The sequence below is a fragment of the Homo sapiens genome, chromosome 15 (assembly GCF_000001405.40).
Source record: "Homo sapiens chromosome 15, GRCh38.p14 Primary Assembly".
In the NCBI taxonomy this organism is placed as follows: Eukaryota; Metazoa; Chordata; class Mammalia; order Primates; family Hominidae; genus Homo; species Homo sapiens.
This window is the reverse complement of record NC_000015.10, coordinates 47740633-47766411: the sequence shown is the minus strand read 5'-3', so window position 1 is coordinate 47766411 and position 25779 is coordinate 47740633. Positions and strand designations below refer to the sequence as shown.

At 41.7% G+C, this 25779-nt stretch overlaps 1 protein-coding gene across 9 annotated transcripts in view, besides 1 other annotated feature; it reads right to left on the bottom strand.

Moving 5' to 3' along the window:
- Window positions 1-25779, bottom strand: part of SEMA6D (semaphorin 6D) — a 590140-nt gene that overhangs the window by 7817 nt on the left and 556544 nt on the right. For 8 of the 9 annotated variants that reach the window (NM_001198999.2, NM_001358351.3, NM_001358352.2 and 5 more), the window contains 14 exons: window positions 6505-6667; window positions 5997-6108; window positions 5374-5434; window positions 5192-5254; window positions 4981-5082; window positions 4661-4751; window positions 4093-4212; window positions 3308-3396; window positions 2345-2562; window positions 2107-2238; window positions 1619-1774; window positions 1356-1529; window positions 403-543; window positions 230-307 (listed from right to left, as the gene is read on the bottom strand). In NM_001198999.2, coding sequence (NP_001185928.1) covers window positions 230-307; window positions 403-543; window positions 1356-1529; window positions 1619-1774; window positions 2107-2238; window positions 2345-2562; window positions 3308-3396; window positions 4093-4212; window positions 4661-4751; window positions 4981-5082; window positions 5192-5254; window positions 5374-5434; window positions 5997-6108; window positions 6505-6613 — 1646 coding nt within the window. In that variant the 5' untranslated portion in view covers window positions 6614-6667. Of the gene's footprint in view, window positions 1-229; window positions 308-402; window positions 544-920; window positions 1530-1618; window positions 1775-2106; window positions 2239-2344; window positions 2563-3307; window positions 3397-4092; window positions 4213-4660; window positions 4752-4980; window positions 5083-5191; window positions 5255-5373; window positions 5435-5996; window positions 6109-6504; window positions 6668-25779 lie in introns of those variants that run through there. The other variant, NM_024966.3, reaches the window with a different exon arrangement.
- Window positions 875-2074: an enhancer, noted in NCBI's record as "BRD4-independent group 4 enhancer chr15:48056535-48057734 (GRCh37/hg19 assembly coordinates)". NCBI's record gives its function as "activates an origin of replication core promoter dependent on BRD2, P300/CBP, MED14 and CDK7 cofactors, and independent of BRD4, by STARR-seq in HCT116 cells {active_cell/tissue: HCT116}" and the evidence as "EXISTENCE:reporter gene assay evidence [ECO:0000049][PMID:35650434]".

Here is a 25779-nt window from a genome sequence, read left to right as displayed (position 1 = left end):
AATTGGTTTTTTCTCTCCATCCATTTCCCTTAAGTATTATTAGGTCTACCATTTCCCTTAAGTATTATTATTCCCTTCCTTGTCACGTCTCCTGGTTTTCGTTTTCCTGTTTCTCCCATAACAACAAAAAAAAAGAAAAGTAGTATAATTGGAAGTTTTCTGCAATTTCTAGCTTTAGAGACCCTGGAGAGGATAGTTCATCCTAGCTCATGTGACAAAGTATACTTACAGCATCCCTGGGGTCACTCTACCACAGGATCCCTGGCTTAACCAGCCACAATACGGGTCACGAGATGCAATACAAGACCTGTGTAAAACCAAACAGAATGTAACTTGGATTTTCTCATCAACAAAGGTTTCGATACTGCAAGACCCAGGGTAAGTAAAGAAACACGAGCTTACTTTTTACATGATCCATAACGCTCACAGCGACTGAGGGGGATGCGGATAATGCAGCTAGAGAACGCCACATATAAAGCGTGGTGATCTTTATCCAACTGTAATGAGATGACCTTTTTGTCTTCCTCATTCTCAGCACTGCACCTATTTTGTGGGATACATTTTGAAGCCATATGTTTAGTCAGTCAAGTGTGGTTTGCTTTAGCAATTACTGAGACCTGGGAAATCATAAGGAATATTCTTGGTAACAAACCAGGCAAGTACATAGCTTGGGAAATAATAATTATGTGATTCATCTTCTACTTCTCTGCATGGTTGGTTAAATTTCAGGCTGGACAAAGGGTTTTTAAACATTGCTTTCCTGTTATGATGATAGAAGTGAATTGCATTTGCGAAGGCCACATTTGACTATAGAAATAAAAAGGATCGTGCTTTAATGCATATAAATTTTCCTGTGTTAGATGGTTCTGGTTCTCTCCTTAGTCCCCTTGGCTCCATTTCTCTCTTCTATTTCTTATTTGTTTTTTTTTTTAATGGTCTAAATATTCTCTTACTTATTAAAGATAGGAAGGAAATACTTAACTAGTACTGCATTCTGTGTATGTATGTGCATGTATATTTGTGTGTGTGTGTATGCAAGCTCACAGCTGTCTGCTGCATGTAGCATCTTGGAATATATCTGCAAGATAAGAGAGGTGCTGTTAAAATGTTCTCATATTCTACAGGTGAAAAACAAGGGCTGCATTATTTTTAAACTCATCAACCATTCACCCCCCTCGCCCTAGCAGGCTCGGGAAAAAAACAAACCCAAGATTTATTTCAATGAGAAAAAAAACACAAAACACTATTATGCCAAACCACTGCTAATTTAGAGGACCAAAAGGACATGACTAGATGAAATACATGCCGAAAATTTTTGAGCAGTGCTGAAGGGCGTTCTCGTAACATATACCTACTTTGCATGGTTGTAGGCTTCAATCTCTTCCAGTAATACGCTGTCGTTCAAAGAGAAAGGACTGGTCTTTGCCAGAACTTTAAGTACCATGCCAGCTTCAGAGCCAACAAAGATGACTGTGTAGTTCTGGTAGGGTCCGGCTGAATGGTCCACTGAGATGGCCGTCAGTCTGTACCTACAAGAGGAGGCGGCACAGATCAGAAGGGGAGGCCAACGGGCAGAGAAAACGTTGAATAGGAAGGAGTGTTTCACACACAATCTCACCTGACCCGAGTCTTTGTGAACCAGGGCTCATCGGCAATGGGTGGAACGGCAGAGTCCATCAGGGGATGAGATTTGATGAATGACAGAGTTTCATCCGGGAAATCGATGGAGGTTTTATAAGCTTCGGCAAGGCCGTGTTTTGCACAACAGCCAGGCCTGAAAGGAAAACAGCGTTATTTTATGCTCTCGGCTGCCCCTGCCACACCATGTACTGTATCTAAGGAATAAGTGTATATTCTCAGAGAAGAGGTCAAGTGAGGAAGGAGAGTGAGTGAAACTAAAGGAGCAATGCTATGCCCCTGAATTCAATGGGTTCTCCATTCACACTCATGGGCTTGCAGGTCACAAGGCTATGTCTGCTGGCTCTGTCTGAGAGAGGGACCCCTTCCTGGTGTGGGAGGTTGGCCAAGCTGCTCCCTGAGGAGGGATGCTTCCAATGACCGGAAGGTTTTGTTCAAGACAAAACCCTTTTCTACTTTTTTATTTACCTTGGCTTTGGCACTTTGTCTTCGGGAACTGCTGTCCAAACAGAATCTGGAGTTTTCTGTTCCTTAAACCGTCCTTTGAATACTTTTTCAATGTCATCCATGCTAAATGCACAGACAGCAGAACCAGGGATGCTGAAAAGGAAGAAAATCATCAGGAAGAGGCTGGCGACATGAAGCCTGTCTTGGTTCTGACAGGCATGCAGAGAATATCTTTGCAGTGCCGGGGTTCTGCTCTCACCTATTGAGCTGCGTGGTAAACACCCCGACCACAGTGGGGATGCCATTGATTTGTATTATGTCTGTAATAGACTGCAGAACATCAAAGTAGAAAAACGAATCTCCAGGGACAGAACAGTTCAGCCGAGCCTTTAGAAATGAAGTCCAGTGTTTCTCCAGGACCCGCTGGGAACCACCCATGTCGTTTTTACATATGCGGGCCACGCGGGAATACACAGCCTGCCCAACGGATAGAAGCAAAGCAATGGGGTTATGAGCATGGAAAGGAATGGAAACAAAATGATACTGTTTAAGGGAGGGACAAAAAATACTAAAGATACATCTGGTTCAAAAAAATCTAGCAGTCTTCTCTCTAGGGATCTGTTCAGTAAGAAGGTAAACTAGATTCACCTGTGGGGAAAAAAGAGCCACTTTCCTATTTTGCTAAGCATCCTTCCCAAGAAGTGAGCTGTCTATCTGCCTTGCTGAATGAAAACCATCCCTGCACTTGGTCTCCAACTTTGCTTCCTGTATTGTTAATGAAACATGTCATCTTTCAACTTGGCATAGAAGGGGTTGCAATACTTTAAAATCACATGGGCTTTCACTGAAACACTAAAAATTGAATGGGGTCGCTACTTTCTATCCTGTCTTTTGACGCTGAGAAAGAATAGACTATCAGTGGTTTTCTAAAGAGTAAAAAAAGCATCCGTAGCTCAAGGGTACCTGTAGAACACTCTCTGTGGCTGCAGGAAAAAAAACGATACCTTCTCAAAACTCAAGGCTGCTGTTCCCACTCAGGTTATTGTTCAGATGTTTTCCAGCAATTATTCTCATGATAAGCAACCCACCTCTCTGCAGTTGGCCCTATGTATACTGAATTGAGAGCTGGAAAACATGCCAAGTGAGCATCCTTAACTCTATCACAGTGGTCTCAATTTCATGCAGTACAAGTCCACAATTCAAGCCAAATGCATATACTTGCCTTGCCTAAATTATTATGTTCGACAGCGATTTCTCGAAAGAAGAAATAGACATAGTTTCCATATTCTATGGCATGAAGAAAGTGTGGCTCTGAAAGAAAAATTAAAAACAAACTGGTTCCTAAAGGATAATTCAATTAGCATAAGACCCCGACTGCAAAGCATGACTGACAGATGTTGCACAATTACATTCAAGCCAACAAGAACTCCAATCTGCCAATGACTTTGAGGAGTCCCAATATGGGTGTGTTCAAGCTTCAGGGAACCAGTCATCTCTAAAGTCAGCTAATGGACTGTAAAAAGACCTACAGGGAACTGAACTACAGCAAAGGTCTTTGTTTCAACAGATTTATTCATTAACCTATTTAACTAGGGAAGAAAACCTCTTACACTGAAAATAAAAAATCTTGATTTCTAGACTCTGAAGAACAAAATGGCTCTCATACGGACTAATCGATTCTCTCTGGTAACTTTCCAAGATGGGTAGATGGCAAGTAGTATTATGTGCATTTAGAAAGTTAGACAAATTGGCACACACAGAGATGAAATCTCCCCTTTTTTTTTTGAGGTCACCTAGGATAAACACCTGGATGAACTTACTCTTCTGACATGGCTACCAGCCTCCTCATTCCCTGTCAATGCTCCTGTTCACAATCAAAGCAGTGTGTACTTGTTCTAAATAAACAATATAAAGTCATGCGCTGAACCTCTTGATGGCCGTGGCTGCTGTCCCCACTTGGGCCATCCACTATCCTGGTGACCCCACGACACTGCTCTTCAAAGGTACCTTTTATCCATTTGGAATCATATTTTATTGTGCGAAGGGCAGATCCATCACCCATGCTTCGATAAATAACGGCATCGCTGGCCAAGAAGTCAGCCACTGTGGCAGAATACAGCTTCCCATCTGAAACCAAAGGTATAATTTTGGTAAGATAACCATAATTATCCTGCAGTGTGTTAGCTTTGGCAGCGTGTTATGCCCTTTGGAGCGCTCTCACTGGTATTACCATTATCTATACAAATAGGGCTACACCTGATTCTCACCATCAACATGTGACAGGTCAGCCATGATATTATCTAATTTTACAGGGATCTAGGCATCAAAAACTTAAGCAACTTATCGGGGGCCACTGGCCTAGTTAACAACACGGTGTCATAATACTTATAGTGTGCACTGAAATATCCTTGCCCTTAATTTCTTCTTTTTTTGGAAATTTGTGCATAGATTCTAGCCTTTCGAACACTTAGATCAAGGTGGGTATCCAAGTTATTAACTTTTACTCTTCCATTAAATTCCTTTTTCACCTTCAATGTCATTAATCATTTATATTCATTACGCTAAAGGATCTTACCAGCAAAGAGGGCAACATTGGTTTGTCTGGCATCAAATGGGCATCTTGCCAGGCCACTAATTTCTTCCCCATCATATTCTAAGGTACTCAACTACAAAAGAAAAGTAAATAGCCAGTGTCATATCTATTCAACGTGCCCGTTTGAAGGCAATACTATTTTATTTGTATTAAAATTCCATTTGAAGAATTCTGTCTTTATTCTTTCATTGCACTAGAGATAAAACAAATTACTGGAAAGCAGAAAGATTTCAACTCTAACAGCATATCAGTGAAGGGAGAAAAGTTGATCAAAAGAAGCATATCACATAAAATATACTTACCCTGTAGTATCTACACATGGGATTGAATGCATTGGTACCACAAACAAAAACCATCTCATCGTTTCTTGGAACAAATACTTTGATAAAGTTGTGGCATTCATCCTAAAGAAAGTAGTAGTTACATTAATATTAGACATTTGAACATGCTGGCACTGTGGTATCAAGCCCACAGAAAGACTAAATCTAGCAGACATTTTTCTGTTTCACTCACTTTATGCTTGCCTTTCATAGCACAGTTTTCTCGATCCTGTTGTCTTGATCGCCATGTCAGTTTCTGTATTAATCAAGCAAAACCAAAGCAGTTTTTAACTGCGAACATTTTTGGGGAGGCAGTGGGAAAATTAATCAGGTTCAGAGGGAAGGTAAATAAATTTGCCAACTACAGTTGCTCACCTTGTTGGGTATTACTTCTGTTTTGGGCATTTCATTTAAGTTTACTGTATAAACTTGATCCCTGTTGGAAATAAGGCAATAAAACATATCACGTGAATACATAAAAATGTTAAGCTGCTTCCTTTTTTATTTTTACAGATCTGCCTTTATTGTGTTTTAGAGATCATCTGGATTTTCTCTGTCTCAAACAAAGTCAACAAAGAGTACTTTTTCATTAGTGAGATGCTTTTATATATCACTGTAGTCAGAGAGCAAAGAAAGCTCTTCTCTCCAGGCATGGGTCAAACTGCTACTTGGTATTAGCATAGACATATTTCTAATATTTGCTTGAATAATTCTAAGTTAAAAACGCATAAAGAAAGGTTTTTTTTTTTCCCCTGCTGCTTTAGGAAAAAAGAATGGTGTATGATTTCTTGATGGCAGTAATAAAATAGCACCGCTGAAAGCTTGAGCTCTGTATTTTGTTCCCGGTACACAACACTGACTCTTCTCAGTGAATATTTCTGGCTACTTGCAATTTTTGATCACAATCACATATTAGTTTTTCATGAACTAGACACACTAATGCAAGCACCACAAGAGAAAAGAATTTTAATCTAATAAACCAATGAGAGGAAAATTACCTGCCAGCAATATAAAGTGTGTCTCGAATTTTCAACATCAGCTGAAAGTCCAGCCTGTGCTGCGATTCATTGCCTGAAGGGCGTCCTCTAAAAACCGGATATTGCCTTGAATCTGCAAGTAAAAATGGGCTAAACCATCATTCAGGATTATGGAGCTGAGGGATCAATAAACAGCATTGATTAGCTGTATATACTTGTTGTAGAAGGGTTTTAACTAAATTCCTCTCTTAAGGTCTTGAATATAAATGAATAAAAGGCAGTGAATGTCAGCAAATGGTCTTTTTAACTCAAAATATATAACCTATATACAGGTTGCTGTAGAAAAGCACCCAACAAAACTGCCCCGTTTTCTCCAAACACTAGGAAATGATTACTGATAAACTCAGATGCAAATTCAAGGTTAAGACATAAAAAATCTCTGCCTCTTTCTGAAAATGAACATGCTTACAGAATGAAAAACAGAAAAGCTTCCTTCTCAGAATAGAAGACTGTTCTTGAGACGACTTACAGTGATAGTCGACAGTATTAAGGGGTTCATCATCTTCAGGAAAGCTGACTGCCCTCAACTGGGAAACCATCAGCAGCAGTATGTAGGCACAAAGCAGGAAGACCCTCATGGTGGGCCAAGGTGAAGTCAGGGTGGCCCCTGCTCAGAAATGCCACTGAGCTACCTGGAAAACAGAAGCAGTTTGGAAAGATCTCTATGCTGCAATGAAGCGGTTTTCTTGTTTGTAATCAGCTCAGTTTTCACCATCAGCTCCCTCCAAAGCCCCTCTCCCACCAGGAATGCTGGCAGTGGTAGATCAGGTATCGCCAAAAACACAGGCAAAAGATGGCAACATGCCAGGCCTGATTAAAGCATCTGGTTGAGCATTATTGAAGTTTTCAGCAAATTCACGAGAATTTTGGAGGTAATTGTATGTCATCACAGCAGAGCCACCAGAACCATGAGCAGAAATGCTAGCTGCTGACTTGGCAAGAAGATGGGCAAAGTTGGGATAAGAATTTTAATTAAATTCCAATCCTCTTCCCTTCCCCCAGTCCTGAAATATATCTAATACAGCTTGTCTCTGCCCCGCATAAAACGCTCAAGCTGCCTCAAAAATAGCCAGAGGGCTGATGATCCTGTCATAATCTCTCCTTAGCTCTTTGCTTATGGTGTTGCCAAATTCCCAGCATTACCCAAGTATTAGCCCCAAATTCTTAAGTCGAGTATTTCCCTATGCTTACTACGACCAACGTGGAGACAATGACACGAATGACCCTGAATCAGGGTGAAAGGGAATTAAAAGAAATACAATGATTTCATGATAACCAATCAAGCAAAGCAAGGCAGGGATGAAGTGGCACAGCTGACACCAGGCCACCAGGGAAGTCTACGTTTTTACATAAAACCATTTGGACACAAACCAATACCCTAAGTACACCGGTCCTTTTAGCTTTATTGAACTTCAGAGCTGTGGGGGTCCTTAGGGACCATCTAGTCCAACCCCCTCATTTTTCAGATGAAAATCCAAGGGCCAAAAAAATTAAAGGACTCACTGAATTGTGTGGAGCTAGTTAAGGCAAGATTGGAGTCCAGACTCACATAATCTGGGTCCCTGTCCAGGCTCTTTTCACCAAATGGAAAGGAGAACATAAATGACTGGATTTTTGTCCTTCAAATATAGAGCATTACAAAAAACTTTTTGGGGAAATGGATATATTCATCATTTTTATTGAAGTGATGCTTCATAGGTGTTAAATTTAATCAAATTGTACATTAAATATGTGCAGTTTATTACATATCAATACCTCAATAAAGCTATCAAAACACAGCATTAATTGCATTATAGTAACAGTAAAAAATTTAAAAGATCTTTAAATGTTATTAGCTTATTAAAAAGATGAATTAGGGCCCTGTTGGGTCAATGAGATGGATATTTTTGTGAAGCTGTAAGTGTTCTACTTTGCAACAATAACACCCCCCCCTCAACCAAAACTGTCACTTGCAGCTACTGTTCTGAACAACAAAACATTTAGCTTTATCCTCAGTCTTACATATCTAAGAACTTTAGGAGAGATCATGAGAGTCACTGCAAATTCCAGGGGAGTCCAACCACTAAACCAGGTGTTTACTGTACCTTTTTTATGGACTTCAGGTGAAGCACACAGATATGCATGCTATCCAATGCTCTAAATATGTGTCTAACTAAAGTACAAGTCAAGTATATGTGAGTTTTAGAGTCCCAGTTTTTCAAAAAGAGAATAATATATTGCAGCAGTTTTTTTCGTGGATGATCAGTCCAGCAGTAAGTTCACATATTTAAACTGCCTTACAAAAAGCAGGTGGAATGGAAACTGTGCTGGCATCATTTTGTACTAAAGTTAAAAGAGTATGGACTTTGGAGTCAGTATGACTTGGGCATGGATGAAATTATACCACATATTAGCAAATTGGCCTGGGAACGTTCCTTCAATCTCTTTGAGCATTAGTTTCTTTATCTGTAAAATATGGATAATAGCACCTTCTCAGAGCGAAAAGGAAGCAAATGCCTGGCACATAGGAAATTCTGAGAAAAGTTAGACCTCTCTACCCATTTCCTACTGGAGAATCCTGGGTATGACCAGATTGACTTTAAGAGTCTCATAAGGGCCTGGGGAAAAGATATCCTAAAATATTAAGGTTATTTGGCCAGTTATTTTTCACAACTAGTTACTTTAGAGCACTAAAGGACTACTTATAGAATAAATTTTACAACTTGTTCCTATGTATTGGACCTGGAAAATAAAGTAACATAACAAAACAAAACAAAAAAGCAATCACCAACAATCCTACTATCCTACCTCAACAACCGCAATGATTTGGTTCTAGTTTTTTACTACAGCTACATGGTTTCCATTGTGCTGACAAGATGGTTTCGTGTTTACCTCTTCTTCTGAAGCAGTGTCTTCTTGTCTTGCTTTTCCATACTATTCTGATCACTTACAAAGACCTTCTAAAGTTGAAGTAGTATAAAAGTATAAAATGTTGCCTTAAGAACTAGATCCTGCTTTGACACCAGTCCCAAATATCATCCTCTAGATAGAAAATCACCGAATCTTTCTGCTGGATATCAGGAAAAATAATTAGAAATACCAATTAATCCCAAAGAAGTGTAGAAACATCTGCATTAAAACAAAAAGATCGTTCTGTGTCTCTTTCTCCTCCATGACAGGTAACTGAATGGTTCACATCAGGTAAGCAGAACATCCATGTCCCAGACAGCAGGGCGGGGAGGAGCCCTCACCAGGAAGAGTGTCTCTCAGCTGTGATCCCAGCACTGGGGCTGAGGATGGAATCACTGCTGACTCACTAGCAAGCACCAAGCTGCTGGCTGAGCTATCATTTCCTATAACTCATTCATCTGACACTGCAGAAAGCAATTTCTCCCCATGCCCCACCCCCTACCACTCTAATCCTCCCAAAATAAAGCCCTACCACTAACTGCTTCCTGTCTCTGCATAAAGCTGTATTTCTGAAAAAAAAAAAAAAAAAAATTACATTCAGACTTGCCATAGTAGTTATAAATGGAGGCATTTAATGTGATACATATTGCAAAAGCTGGGTGGGGGAGGGAAGAATCTGGAAATACCTGAAAGCAATGTACCAGGAAGGGGATGTCTTTGCATGTAAACCCCTCAGACTACTTAGCTCTGACTTTACATAAGAAGATATATCAGGAGTCCAGGGGTCAGTGAAATCATGATACTAGTTATGCTGAAAAAGGGCAGGCCAAGTAGCAGGATGAAATGTTGGAAAAAAACATGGATCTTGAGATTAGAAAAATCTGAGTTCAAACTTGCTTGTGCCATTTACTTCCTGGCTCTTGGGCCCTGTTTAAATTGACTTTATCTCTTTAAGCCTCAGTTTCATCAAATGTAAAATGGGAATAATTATCTTTATTACTTCATAGGCTCTGTTTAGGATTAAATGAGATAATCAGTATGAGGCATCTAACACAGAGCCTGCTCCGCAGTAAATCTTTAGTAAATTTTAACGAATATCATCATGTCTATTCTGGTTACGTCTTGTCTGGCAAAAAGGTGGAAAAAAAAAAAGCAATGTTCATTCCTTCATCTTGTACAACTATTTGCTAAACTGTTTATGTATACCATCCAAACAATGACAGGGGCATTCTTAGAGGATAAGGCACACCTTCACAGATGTACAGGCCTCCAAAAAAGAGGAAACCATCTTCCTCACACGCAAGCTTAGGGTAAAGAACATTCCTACATGAAGTCATTCCTGTTTGTGACACAGTCAGAGAGCCAGGATGCCTGACTAGCTATGTTTATTCAGTTTTTGGTATTTTATATGAACTTCTCCCATACATTCCTAATGTTAAATACTAAATATGATGAGGAAAGCTCTTAATGGGAGTTCAGAGCTGCCAGAACAACCAGGGCGTGAGTGACAGGATACTTGGGAGAAGGGAGGTACATGGAGCTTAGTCCCATACTCAGCATTTGATTTTACCTTATGGAGACTTGATGATTTTATATAATATTTATACTTATATTATTATACATAATATATTGTTATATTTATATTATATATTGTTATATTTTTATAATTTTATATTTGCTAATTTCATACAGCTTAAGGCTCTATAAAAATGAGAGTATAGCTATAAAGAAAAGTCAAATTTCTGGCAGTCACAAGTTTAGGTCCCACCAAGAAGGAAGAGTTCCAGTAAATAACCAAAGGCTATCATTTGGGCCTCTGACAAGCTACACTCTAGAAGAGGAGAAAAATGTGAGGTAAACCATGTTTTACAAAAGTTCCAATCCAATCCAATAAGCTAAGTCCCAGACTGAATGGATATAATCTCCCACTCTAGCTGCTTGCCAGAAAAGATAAGATTACACTTCTTTAGAAAAAGATAACATCATCCAGAGACTACAATTATTTACATACATTGCCCAACATTCAAGTAGAAATTATCAGAAATTCCAAAAACTGCAGCTAAGAGAGAGAGAAAAAACCACAATAGAAATAGGCCCACAGGTAACCCAGATATTAGAGTTACCAAACATATGTTTTGAAAATAACTGTGCTTTTTTTGTGCAAGAAAAAAAGATGACAACATGGAGAATTTCACCAGAAAACTGGAATCTATAAAAAAGAATTTAATAAAAATTCAACAACAAGGCTGGGCATGGTGGCTCACGCCTGTAATACTTTGGGAGGCCGAGGCGGGGGGATCATGAGGTCAGGAGTTTGAGACCAGCCTGACCAACATGGTGAAACCCTGTCTCTACTAAAAATACAACAATTAGCCAGGCATGGTGGTGCACACCTCTAATCCCAGCTACTCAGGAGGCTGAGGCAGGAGAATTACTTGAACCTGGGAGGCAGAGGTTGCAGTGAGCCAAGACTGCACCACTGAACTCCAGCCTAGGCGACAAAGCGAGACTCCATCTCAAAAAAAAAAAAAAAATCAACAACAAAAAAGCACAATAAATAACACATCTTCTTAATAGATGTGTTTAGCAACATATTTGTCAGAGGTAAAGAGAAGATTAGTGAGTAAGAAGACAAACAAATAGAAATTATCAGACAGAAATATGGAGAGCAAAAAGTTTGAAAGAAACAGACAAGAGAGTAAGAGACACAGAATTTTGTGAAAGAATTAACATACTGGAGTCCCTGAGACTGCAGAGAGAGAAATGGACTAAAGCAATATTTGACAAGATAATGGCTGCACACATTTTCAAAACTGATATGATTATAAGCCACACATTCAAGAAATTCTAAGAAGTTCTAAATACAAGGAAATAAAGTTAGACACATCATAGTAAAAATGCTGAAACAAGGAAAATTTTAAAAAATATTACACACTAAGATACATTACCTTCCAAAAAGCAAGAAAAATATGGACAGCTGACTTATCAGTAGAAACAATGGAAGCCAGCAGACCATAGAATGACATTTTTAAGTTGCTGAAAGAAAATAAATTTCCAGCCTAGAATTCTACAACCTGTAAAAATATTCTTCAAAAATGAAGGCAAAATAAGGATGTTTTAGACAAATAAAAACTCAGATTTGTTGTTCCAGATGCAAACTAAAAGAAATATTGAAGGAGAGTTCTTTAGGCAGGGGAATTTATAGGGAAGGTTAATGCAAATTTTTAAACTTTAAAAGAAAATTTATTTTGTATTTTTAGTAGAGGTGAGGTCTCACTATGTCGCCTAGGCTGGTCTCAAATTTCTGGCTTCAAGTGATTCTCTCACCTGGGCCTCCCAATGTGTTGGGATTACAGCCATGAGCCATCATATCTGGCCACAAGTTCTTGTTATGGTTATAGCATAGTAGCCAAATTTGAAATTAATGAATCCCAGATAGAGAAAGTGGTATATAGTCTTTGTCTCCCTGAAAACTAGATAGTTCAAAGGAAATTAGAATGTAGAAATGGGGTAGACCTACTTTATCGCTAGCCCAAAGAACCCAGAGAGATACCATGTTGATTTGAAAGCTATCCTCTAGCTCTCATCCCAAGATGCCACTATACAAAGAGTATCTGCTTAGACTCTCCTACTCCACCTGCCTCAGGATCTGAATGTGGAGTTGGTTCCTTTTAGTTTCCCGATGACTCTTCCAGACCTTTGGCCTCCATGATCTTACAAAAAGTCTTTGGTCGAAGTCCTGCCCTTCCTCCTCTCTTTTACCTGATAGTTTCCCAGTCATTTCCTCTAGCTTTACGAAGACTTTACTAGCCTCAGCCCATGGTTCCATATGGAGACTTCAGCCTCAAAATCATAAAGCAATGCATTGTGTGCTCTGATGCTAACCTCTTATTCTTCCAGCTTGCTCATACTGCTCTACTTTCTCATCAGGACCTTCAGCCCACTAACTGTTCTTTTCTGCTAGTCAGTCTTCTCTGATCTTGACATACCTCTTTATCCATCTTAGGTTGTCAATGGTCAATCATGTCCATTATTCTGCCTGTGCTCCTGACTGCCCCATCCTCTGTGTCCTTGTCAGCTTTTCTTGCAAAGTCGTAACCTTGGATGAACTCTGCCACTCACCTTCTGCACCTTCTCCAGAGCAGCTGAGCACTAGTTGAGACAAGCACACTCTAGGACAACTCGCTAGTAATGTAACAGAATTCTTTGTCATCAACTACAAATAGCATCAAAAACTCCATGGAGATCCTATGTTTCTCAATTAAATTAGACCACTCCCCAAATCCATAAATGTAAATTTCCCACTTTCCTCAAGGCCCTGATCTGCTATGTCTCCACACTCTGCTACTTACATTCCTCCCTCCTGCCCCACAGCTACTTCACATAGAATATGAAAGCTGTAACATGGGAGCTTCCTCAGTTTTCTCCTTTCCCATTGCCAAATACATCAACTCTTTCCCATGTGCTTATTTTTTTTTTTTGACAGTGTCTTGCTCTGTTGCCCAGGGTGGAGTGCAGTGGTGCAACCTTGGCTCACTGCAATCTCCACCTCCCAGGTTCAAGCAATTCTCCTGCCTCAGCCTCCAAAGTAGCTGGTATTACAGGCGTGCACCACCACGTCCAGCTAATTTTTATACTTTTAGAAGAGGTGGGGTTTCATCATGTTGGCCAGGCTGGTCTCAAACTCCTGACCTCAAGTGATCTGTCCACCTCGGCCTCCCTAAATGCTGGGATTACAGGCGTGAGCCACTGTGCCCAGCCCCAATTTAAAGCAATTGGATTGCTTTAAATCCAATCCCTTCACTCTTTTCTGGAATAAAAAGACGTTGATTATATTTCTCTCTTTCTGGTATTTTCTGTAACTCTTAACCATTTAAGTACTGTCCATCAGCGCTGAAATTTGTCCATGTCTCCCTCATCACACACACAAAAGGAAAATACCTCCTGTAGCCCTGATCCCACTCAAGCTATCACCTGGGTCTTCACTGCTCTTCACTGGCACTGAAAGAAACTTTGCTCTACTGCTATAATTTCCTCACCTCCTGCTCATTCTTCTACTTTCTGTGTTCTAGTTCCTCTGTCAGTAGAGACTGATGACCTACAAGTACCTAAAGGCAACGGACATTTTCCAGTCCTATTTCATTTGACTGCTCAGTAGCTTTAGAAGCAGTTGACAGTTCACAGCTTTTCAAAACACTGCCTTTCCTTGCTTTTCCTCATACCACATTCTTCTGACGGTTTACCCACCTCTCTGTCTGCCTGTTTGTTTCCCATTAGTTTTCTAGATACAACAAGAATGATCTTTTCAGAATATAAACCTAATCATGGCATCTCATAATCCTCCAGTAACCTTCTATTACTCCTGGGATGGAGCCCAAATCTTTTAAATGTGGCCTTCAAGGTTTTTCAGGTTCTGAGTCCTGCCCCCTCTCACAAGGAGTCCTGTCTCACCTTGGGCCTCTATCCCTCTTGTGCTTCTAACACTCTGTCTCTGTTTTCAGCCCTGGAATATGTCATGTCATGCCACCTACCAAGCCTCGCTCCTCCTTTCCCTCTATGGTGGCCCTTTCTGCCTCCCATCCTTGGGCTAGTTAAGTCCCCCTAATTTTTTAGAAAATAGGGAAGATTTTTTTTTTCAGTCCCTTAGGTCAAGTATATCTCACAGTTGTCAATTCCTAAGACAACTGTAAATCAACTGTGAATAAAGGAATAAGCAGAAGAATGAACCATGTGTCCTGAATCACCACATCCCCGCTGAATCTCTTAGCGCAAGGTTAGCATTTTGGACTCCAGTTTAATTTAGATTGATTTAGTACCACTAAACAAACAAGAGAGGGCAGCAGACCCAGGGGGGATGGGCCCCTGGGGCTTCCACTTCCCAAGAGCATGGACTTTTTCTGCTGAGAATGCTGTAACTAAAGGAAGAAGAGGGGGTGGAACTAGACCTGTGGCACAAAGAGCACCATTCACTCTGTAGTCTATGACATTTCAGGGGCACTGCTCTTACTGTAGTCAATGAGAATGATGGCACCTGGTGTCACAGGAATTATCCATTTACCAACTATGGGTCATGAAAGCCCCAAGAGACTAAACAAAAAAGGAGCAGTGGGTTTAGGTAAGTTGAGAGAGGGCAAAGAGAAGCAACTTGATTGCTATACCTTGGAGCCTATCAAGACAAGGAGGGTTGTAATTGAAGATCAATTATAAAAGGGAGGTTTAGGTTTATATAGCATTCATGTGCCTAGATTCTAAGCAGTGTGTTCTGGGCAGGGCTTTAGATCTTAATGATCACCGTCAGTATTTAATCAGAATGGTATGACAGCTTGGCTGACACCACAAGCTTTGGAATATAAGAAGGTCATCTCCACTGAATTGCAGGCCTTCTTTCACCTTCCATGTGTGGTAAGAAGACTAGATTATTAATCATCACTATATATACAGATTCCAGGAGACCCCGAAGTAGAGCTGGGGCAGGCTACTCTGGGCCCTTCTGAAAAGCATGGGTGCTCCTTGCCTCCAGGCTCACCAAGTAACTCTTGGCTGATGTGGTGTTTTCAAGGAGCAGAGGCTTTTTCATTTAAGGAATCGGTACTGCTACCCCACCCTCCACCACATGCATGCAGCTTCTGTGTGCAGGTGTCACATCTGAACAAATAAATACATCCTCTCTCGCTGTGGGCCATGAGGAGATTGCTGAAAGGCCCCAACTCTGAGACCCTTCCTCCTTCTAGGAATGTGGGTTCCCAGGTTAGAGGAAGAGGCTTCTAGCACTGTTATGTTACTGACACTTTATAATTAACCGTCTAAAACTCTGCCCCATGGCATGTGGAGGAAATGAAGCAGCTCTGTGACTCACCTTCCACACAGCTGAAGCCCTGCTGACACATCAGAATCTGTGAAATGTGCATTCTGAAGGAGCAAGGAAGGGCCTGACAGGAGCAGTGGAGACTCACACCATGAGGAACAAATCAGGGATGATTCTTCTCCCACCGACACTGGCAGCAAGAGAGGAAAGAGGCCAGGAACCAGGAGATCTGGGGTCACAGACTGGCTAGCTAGGTGGCCAGAGACAAGTCACTTCACCAATCTGGACTGATTTTATGCAATACAAGGGGGCTGCTAAATTAAAACTGTAGAAACCTGTTTTTTCTCTAAGAATCCATGTTCTCCTCCTGATGGCTAGAGGGATTCCTACTTCCCTATCTAGTGGGATAAACATCCTGGTGTAATTCCCACTGCTCCAGGCTCTTTCTCCTCAATATCCAAGCATTTCAAGTCACTATCATTATAAACAAACAGCCATTCCCCTGACCTTGAGGCTGCCTCTGCTTTCTCTCTCTCCCACTTCCTTTCTCAGCCAGGCTTCTTTGAAAAGAAGCCTGAGTCCATATTCTCCATTTTCTCACTTTTCATTACATTTGTAGCCCACTCTAGCCTAACTTTAATGACTATGCATCAACCACCTAATTGCCAAATCCAAGGCAATCCTCATTTTAAATCTTCCTTCATCTCCTTGAGGCATTTAATCTCAGTGGTCATTCCATCAGATCTTCAAACTGCACCTGTGACTCCCCTAGTTCTTCCCACCTCCCTAGCTGCTCCTTTTCATCATCTTCCCAAATTTGTCTTAACATGCTTGCCCGTTGGATGTGGTTCTTCCCAGTTCCATTCCGGGTCTCTAGGGATGTGCTCACATGACACTTACCTTCTTCACTACCACCAATTCACTAATCCCAGATCACACGTCCACCACACACCAGTTCCAATCCAGCTGTCCAACTCCCTGCTAGATATTTTGACCTTCGTAAAATATAGGCATTTTAAATTCAGTAGTCTAAAATTGAACTTAAGATACTTTGCCTTGACTTCTCCTGCTGAATTTCCTGCGGAGCATAGGTTTAGAGCTTGGAGTACCTGGCTTCCAATGTAAGCACTACCATTTACAAGCCATGTGACTTTGGGCATGTTACTTAACTTTCAAATTTTCTTGTTTTCCTGCCTGCAGTGAGGATAATAATATTACTAATATTATTACGATTACTGAATGAGATAACCTATATAAAGCATGTAGCCAAACCCCTTGCGCCTGACAAGAGTCCAGTAATTAGGCCGGGCGCAGTGGCTCACGTCTGTAATCCCAGCAATCTGGGAGGCCAAGGTGGTCAGATCACTTGAGGTCAGGAGTTCAAGATGAGCCCAGCCAACAGGTGAAACCATTTCTCTAGTAAAAATACAAAAATTATCTGGGCATGGTGCTGTGTGCCTGTAATCCCAGCTACTCGGAAGGCTGAGGCAGGAGAATTGCTTGAACCTAGGAGGCGGAGGTTGCAGTGAGCTGAGATCACACCACTGCACTCCAGCCTGGGTGACAAGAATGAAACTGTATCTCCAAAAAAAAAAAAAAAAAGAAAAAAAAAGATTTACAACTATTATTATTGTTATTGCTATTTTTTTTCATGTTCTTCTCAGGCACTTGTGTTTTAAGCCTGGGAGTCTTCCTAGACGGCCCCGTCTCCATCATCCTCTCCTTTGAACCTGTCAGTACATCCCATTGCTTCTATCTTTTCATTTGTCTAGAATTGACTCTTCATTGGTTTCTGTTCTCCTAGACTTCTAGTGCATTCTCCACAATGCCACCAGAATGATCTTTCTAAAACACAAATGCTATCATGTTACATCCCTGTCCAAAAGCACTTTAATGGTTCCCGAAGGCCTATGTGTAAAGTCTAAATTCATTTCCAAGATTTACAAGATCCTTCACAATTTTATTCTTTCTAGCTTCTCCATCTCACCTAATGATACTTCCCCACCTGGATCCCTAAGCAGTGTCTTCTGCACACGCTATTCTTTCTAAAACGTCCTTCCTGAAAACTGTCTATTCACCAGCTCAAAACTTACCTGGCCCTCTCCCCTTTCTCATTCTTCCCTCTTCAGCCACACTGCTCTGCTCAGGACAGCTAGTCATACTATGATATTGTATAAATACTTCCATTGCAGAACTTGTCACTCCACAGCAATGTTACTGATTTTCACATTTTCTCTATTGGGCTGTGCTACTCAAAGGATCATTTTCCTCTTTACTGCCAGGATCAGGCACAGGGCCTGGCACCTGGCAGGTCCTCAGTAAATACTTGATGAATGGAGGAAGAAATAAAGAAAGAAGGTAGAACACTGACAGGACTTCGCTGTGGCACACAGGCCACATCAAAATGAACAGCTCTCCACCATCAACCCAACAGCGAATCTTGAGTCTACCATCATTCTCCTGCAGCGTTGGCACAATATCCTCATTAGCCTCCAGTTCATGAGCTTCAGGTGCTGCAAAACCAAGAGGTTCTCTATAAAAGGCAACAGATGCCTCTTTTCACACCTACCCATCATTAACAAACTGCCCACCAGAAATGGGCAACACAGGCCAAATAACTAAATGATTTCTGTCAACCTCCCCATCTCCACCACTGAAATTTCTGCTCACTTTGCAGCTTTCCCAGAACAAAGGGAAGGAAAGCAGGCTATTCCTGAGATTAGAGAGTGGATATATGGGACTGGCAGAGAAGAATCCTATGTGACTCTTCACTACCTAACAAATATAAAATGAAAATCAGCTTGCCTAATGGCTGGGTTATGCCTAAAATTCTGCAATGGGAAATTCTTTTCTTTGGCCAATGGCCTTTTTTCTAGTTATAAATTAAGTAATGATAGAACATACCATAACCAGAAACCAGTATGAAGACATTTGTAAGATCTGATCTTACCCAGCATATCAGAACATGCTGGATTCTGACAGAAGAGAAAAAAGCGCAGGTGGTAGTAGATACTATGGGAGAGAAGAAAGGGGAGGCTGGGGCTATGGAAGTCTGGGTGATCCTTATTAATGCCTTGCTCTTAAAATCAGTGTTTTCCTCAAAGTTGGGTCAATTTTATTTGAGTTATATTTTATGTACATGATAAAGCTGTCGACTTAAGTTTTCTGAAAATTAAAAACCTCTTATGCAAGGTTTTCACTTTAAGTCTGGATTTTCTTAAAGCAAAGCACACCAATATCTGAATCAGTAATACTTTGGTTACATATTAATAATTCAGAAAGGAACTGAAATTAAAAAGAGTTGGGCAGGAAGGGACAGAAAACAGGATCTAACCTGTCTTTGCCAATTCTAAGCAAACCTGGACAATAATCCCAGCATCTGACCTGTGATCAGAACCACTGCTCTGGGGACCATAATTCTAGCAACAATTTGCCTACAAGTTTTTGCCTTTCTGCCCTAACTCAAATTGAATAACATTCATTTTAAAGCAAAATTGTCCTAGAAACAATCCTCATTAACAGTGAAAATAATACAAGAAACTAATGAGAATATGAGCCTGATATGTAAGCAGAAAATCTGCTATCCGGGAAGATGACAAAATATATCAGCCTCTTAAGACATCAATATAATAACTTGCTTTGTGAAAGTATAATGCACAAGGAACCTTCTACAATCGAAATATATATATATATATATACACACACACACACAGCAGGAGACTGTTGTGGCAGAAATGAACAATCGTGTCTCCTTTTTTCAGGGGAACCGAAGGGTTTTCAAGGCTAACTAATGACAAGAGAAATGGAAAGCCTTCTTTTTTGGTTATCTCCTCCACAGGCATATCCCAGCCAGACTGGGCTCCTCCCCTTCAGCCTCCAGGAAAAGGAGCCATTCTAGACAAAGGAAGGGCTCAAGGTTCCAAGGGATGACCCAGATGCCAAAGGACTCAGCCTGTCTGTGGAACACTGGCTTATTCTACCAGATGACCTGCTGAGGCTGCCATATGGCCTGCATGTGACTTTCTGTTCAGGATATTAGGGCCTGGGTCTATGCCTGGTTCTGCCCTTTGGGCTCGGATGACAGAAGTAGAGTATGTTTGTTCTGATGCTACTGACTTGTCTGATGCAACCACCGTGTAGCCATAGCTTTCAATGTACTCCATGAAGCCTTTCCAGGCTTTCAAATAAATGAACAATACCCTGGCAAAGAAGGACTGAGGATGGGCTGCTGCTCCTATTCCTGTCTGACAAAGGTCAAGCAGATAAATTGAGGGACTTATGATCCAGGAGTAGTGAAGCCAGTGCAGAACCCAGATGTCACAACAGAGTTCAATGATCTATGTTAGCATCACTGCCAACAACAATGGGATTTCACTCTATTTTAAAAGGCTCACATCTTCAGGTTTGATATTCTGCAAAGTGCCTCATCAGAGGTTCTCAGGTGATGTCATGCTTTAAAACAGTTGGTGATGAGTTTACAGAAGGGTTAAAACTCTAATGACCCAGAGGAAGAGAAGTGAAATTTTAAAAGCCAAGAATTTTTAGTCCCAAGTCCTTTGGTTTTCGGTCACCAAAAATAAGGCCTTTGTATTAGTATTTGCCTTCTGTATTTGAAAATACAGTAACAGTTGCCTGTCTCTAACAAACGTAGAGAAAGATTACTGATTGCTCAGAAAGATTTAGAGCATTAACCTTATCAGGATTCTGTAAGTCAATCCTAACTTGTTTTTTAAAATGTACTTCCTGGGTGAAGGGGACATGGAACTCTCTGTACTATTATTACAACTTCCTGTGAGTTCATAATTATTTCAAAATAATTATTTTTTAAATGTATTTTTTCCTACTGATGGAAATGTGGCCCATGGTAAGTTAGGTTCCATTTGATAGATCTGGACTAAAAATGGAGCTGTAACTAAGAATGAGAATAATAAACAGCCCAGGTGAATTTTAAGTCCTGCAAAGCTCAGGGAGCGCCCAGGCTAAGCCTGAGTCAGTGCACCTGTGCATTACCTGCAGCCTTTTGTCTAGGCTCTGTATCTGATGGACTATGAACTTCTGAAACCTCTGGGTCCACAGAGGCAAAATGGGAGTTTAGGTCAATCCATGCAAGTTCTTAAAATCTCAGTTCCTAATTTTCACTAAATTGATGCAAGACCAAGAGGGTATTAAGCAAACTCAGCCCTTGCTGCTGTCAGGGATGGAGGCTGACAAGCGTTGAGCAGTGGCGTACGGGGTAGAGAACATGGCTCTGGAGCCAGGCTGCCCAGGTAGGTGCCCCAGCTTTGCTGCGCAACCAGTGATCTGACCTTGGGTGAGCTAGTTCACCACTTGGTCCCTCCATTACCCTGTATGTTGGGGATAGGATCACACTAGCAGCTACCTCATAGAGTTGCTGAGGACGGAAGGAGTTCTTGAACCAGAGATCCTGGCACATGGTAAGCACCATAAAAATCACTATTAGACCAGGTGAGTACCAGGAAGCCTGTTCAAGGCTAAAGGTACAACTGTGAGGAAGGGTGTGTGGTTCTAATGCCAGAGATAATTACGCTTCAAACCCTTATCTACATTTGTTCTCACTTTCCTTATGAATCACCTTGGGGGATGTTAATCTTATCCCAAACATTAAACACACCTGGAGATAATAGGGAGGTAAAAAATCTGGATTCTACTCTTAACTCAGCCTCTAAGGATCTGACAGACCATGAGAAAGCCAACTTGCCTCTTCCAGCCTCGGTTTCCCAATCTATACAATGAGAACGCAGGTGATCTCCAATGCCCCTTCCAAGTTGTGACATTTTATGATTTTGAGTTTGGTGCCTGCATTGAAAAAGGTTCTTCACTCAAAGTAAAATTCTTCCCAATTCACACTTCTAAGTTTTTTGTTGTAGCATTGCCGTTGCCTAGGATACAAAGTGCATGTGCTCCCTCTGTACCCTGAGACAGGAGAGTGCGCGATCGCTGCCTCTGATCTGTGACGCTGAACCACAAATGGGCTTTGTACTACAAACTGACTGATGCCTTGAACAGGGACCGAGCCTCCACTGGCACTTACGAATGTGGACTTGGCATTCTGATGGCGTCCCAGATGAAATGGCAGAGGGTGCATTTTCCCCCCCACAACCATGTGTCCTTGGGAAATACGGCCTTTAAGTGTCTCTTCGAGCTTTCTCACCTCACCCAGGGGTGAGGTGGTCCCACAGGCTAGCAGATCATGTCCAATATCTTTTTTAAATTGTAGGATGTGCTGTGGGAAGCTCAGTTCACATACACTCAGGACCTCTGTCTAGGTTTCTTAGCCTCTCTCTGCATTCCCAATGTGCTTTGCAGCTGATATTTAATAAACTTCTGTGTGTGGGTGGGGATTGGGGTGCCTAGCTCTCATTGATATTCAGCCTAGACCAGGGTTTGGGGAAAGAGCTTTTCACTTATAGTGTTTTATGCTCTTCAAAGCAAATATGTCTATCTACTCTAGTCCTTAAAGCTGACCTTAGAGGCTTAGGGCAGAAGTTATTTTCTCCACTGAACTTCGTGTCAGCTTCAGGAGAACAGAAGTCATGTCTGTCTGTTCTCTACTTTATCTTTATTACCCACCATAGCATCTGGAACTCACTATCTACTTGGTAAATATTTGCTGAATTAGTAAATAGATGCTTTTCAGACAAGGAGTTAAAGAACTGCTGGAGGTCATACTGCTGACAAGAGGCTTCTGGGTCACCTGTCTCCAGGTCCATTGCTCTATGACCTCCAAGGCTAATCTCAGAGAGGCTCAAAATGGATTTGCATTGACAAAAATCAAAACTAGGTTCCACAGTGACATTCAGCATTGGTCTTACAGCTATGGGGCCAAGAGGGACCAGAGGACAGCATTTGGATGCCACTTCTCTGAACCCCCTAAATTTCGGGCATGGTAAAGCACCCCCTCATTCCAGTGCAAACTCAGCTTTCTCCACCTTTCTGCCTTTGGATGTGCTGTCCCCATCACTACCTGGAATGCTCTTCTTGTCCCTTCCTCTTCATGACTGATTCCTCATGAGAAATCACTTCCCACCAGGATTTTCCTTCTTTTCCTTCTCCGGCCATGAAAATCTGGGCTCACTTTCATCAGAGCACATATCACGTGATAGTCTGTTTCCTTCTTTTCATAACTTACTCCCCCGCACTGTAGGTTTCTTTGAGTTCAGGAACTGCCTTTTACGTCTGCAAATAAACTCCCAAAAAAGTGGTTAGTCCACAGGGTTTTAATAGTTCTTGTTGAATGAATTTCTGTGTGCGACCCTGTGCCTTCTCAAGAAAAAAAAAACATTGAAAAATCTCCACAGAGCCCTTTACCCACTGATGGTGAATTGCTAATGACAGGTCATCCACGATCACCAGTAATGAACACATACACGCACCAACATATTAAATTATGTATTAAATTATTAAATTAAGCATTAAATTATGCAGCAGTATTTCCGGTAGGCAATTGCCCTTACAGCTGCAGATGTGACCATAGTGAGATCTGGACTTCCCTTGATTTTGAAATTGTTGGGAAGGACATATAGGACTTAGCAGTGTGCCAGTGATATTGTCCGGCCCATTTCCTAAGTTGACCAATGCCTTGGACCTAGGGCCTCAAATTCTATTCTAATCACAGGAGGCATCCTGGGGAGGCATAGAGAAAAAAGAATGTTGCTTTCTTTAGACATGCAAACAGGATAAACATTGGTGAAAAGATTGAGAGAAATTAGCCTAATTATCTTTGGAGGAAAAAGTGTGACTGGTTTTCCTTTTCCCCACCTACTCTCACTATAGAGACCTGCAGCTCTTTGACAAAAAAGAAAGGATTGCAAAACCAGGAAACACAGAGGGTGTGGGGTCCTTTGTATGAAGGATACAGGGACAAGGCAGGATTACAACCAGAGTAAGAAAGGCGTTCTAGCAGGACTGGGGGAAAGAACTGGAGGGACCTGTGGGTTTCTTCCTGAGGGGCTGCATCTATTCCAAGCTGGGTAGAGAGGCAGAGCCACCTCTTTCATGTCATATGCACTGAAAGTCCCAGACACCCTTCAGATCAGTGGACATTCAACAAGTAGAAGCAGCCGTTAGTACAAACACAACCCCAGCCCAACAGGCCTGGCCTGGTTTATGAGGTGCTGTAATCACCAGTCCCCAGGCCCTAGGCTCTATCTCAAGTGGGTCGGTTATACCTTCTGCTTACTGTCTTTCAGCAGCATCCAAGCTGCCCAAGGGAGAAGAGGGAACGGAGGCCAGTGTGAAGGACAGGAGGGATCCCTCCCGTGCAGCAAGGCACCGCTGGCTGCTCCCACCTCCCTCCTTACCTCACCTCTTCTGAGATGAGGGAAGGATGCATCTCTGTTGACTCCCTCTTTCACCATGGTTTTTTTTTAAAGGGACAAGTGAGAAAATGTGAGTAAAAATACTTTAAAAATTGTAAAGGTGCTATACAAGTGTGAAGAAGTAGTATTATTATCACTGCTTTATTTAGTTGCAGTTTGCATCACCCTGGTGTACTGACATCGTTTACACTTTTGCTCAAATCAGTATTCACATGCTTATTTCCACGGCTGCAGTTCCTCTGCGAGTGGCCAGCTCAGCTGAGGCCTCCTGCCCTTGGCTCCTGTTGTTCTCTGAACCTGGAACACCTTCTGCAGCTCCTCTGACTGGCAAATTCCTAGTCATCCTTAGGACCCAGCGCCAGTCTCAGACCCTCTCCATCCCTCTCTCTGCTCTCCTCGCAGGACACTCTATCCATTTCTACTGTGGATTTGCCACAGTGGGTAGAATTGCTCATCTACCTCCTGTCTTCCTCTTTAGACTGTGAGCTCCTCGAAGGCAGGATCTATGGCTTATTGGTAGAAATAACTTCCCAGGCCCAAATAGAAAATATTTCACATGTCTGCTCTACTAACAGAAGAGACTTTGCTTGCTAACCTTCTTATTTTGTTTTCTTTTTACTTTTTTTTTTTAGATGGAGTTTTGCTCTTGTTGCCCAGGCTGGAGCGCAATGGCACGATCTCGGCTCACTGCAACCTTCACTTCCTGGGTTCAAGCAATTCTCCTGCCTCAGCCTTGAGTAGCTGGGATTACAGGCATGTGCCACCACGCCCGGCTGATTTTGTATTTTTAGTAGAGACGAGGTTTCTCCACGTTGGTCAGGCTGGTCTTGAACTGCCGACCTCAGGTGATCTGCCCGCCTCGGCCTCCCAAAGTGTTGGGATTACAGGCGTGAGCCACTGTGCCCGGCCTTCTTATTTTGTTTTCATGGGACACACCTGGAATTAGGTTTAATACGTAGATGTCACAGACCGGAAAATTAGAGCTGATTATAACAAGCCAGGGTTGCATGCTAACAAAGCACCAGGCATTATGCTAAGAATAAGCACCCCCTAGGAGGTTGGTGCTATTTTGCAGATGAGGAAATAAAGAAGTAATCTGCCTTTGGTCACAAAATTAAATAATGGGGCTTAAGCCAGTTTGACTTCAATGTCTGTAGTCTTAATCCCTGCAGCAGAGAAAGATAACACAGAAGAAAAGGAACAGAGAGGAGAAAGAGGAACTTAAGAATTTATTAAGATAAGAATACTGTCAGAGTTTTTTAGCTTGATTTTATGATTGTTATTTTAAGACATAAGCATCATTATTTCCCCTTTCTAGTCTAATAGTCTAGCAGGTAACTGTGTCAGAAAAATAAATAAGTAAAAGTTTCTATGAAAAAGTCAAGTAATTGAGAAGATTCATGCAGGGAGCTAGCAAGGATCCTGCCTCCCTAAATCTTAAGTATTGGTTTCCACCTCTTCCTCCTACCTATCTTTGACGTTAAGGGTCACCAGTGGTCAGAGGCCTCTTCCCTGTCACCCTAGACCTAACATCAAGCCTTTGTCTCCAGGCAGTGGTGCAGCAGGGACCTACCCCAAGGTCAGGGAAAAGAGTATATTGGGTACCTCCCTGCTCAGGTGCTCTTGCTTGGAAATAAACTGAGGGCTCACGGCTCGCTCCTTTGGCTCCTGGGCCCTTCAAAGTTAGAGAGGCTCCCTTTGAAACCCTTCT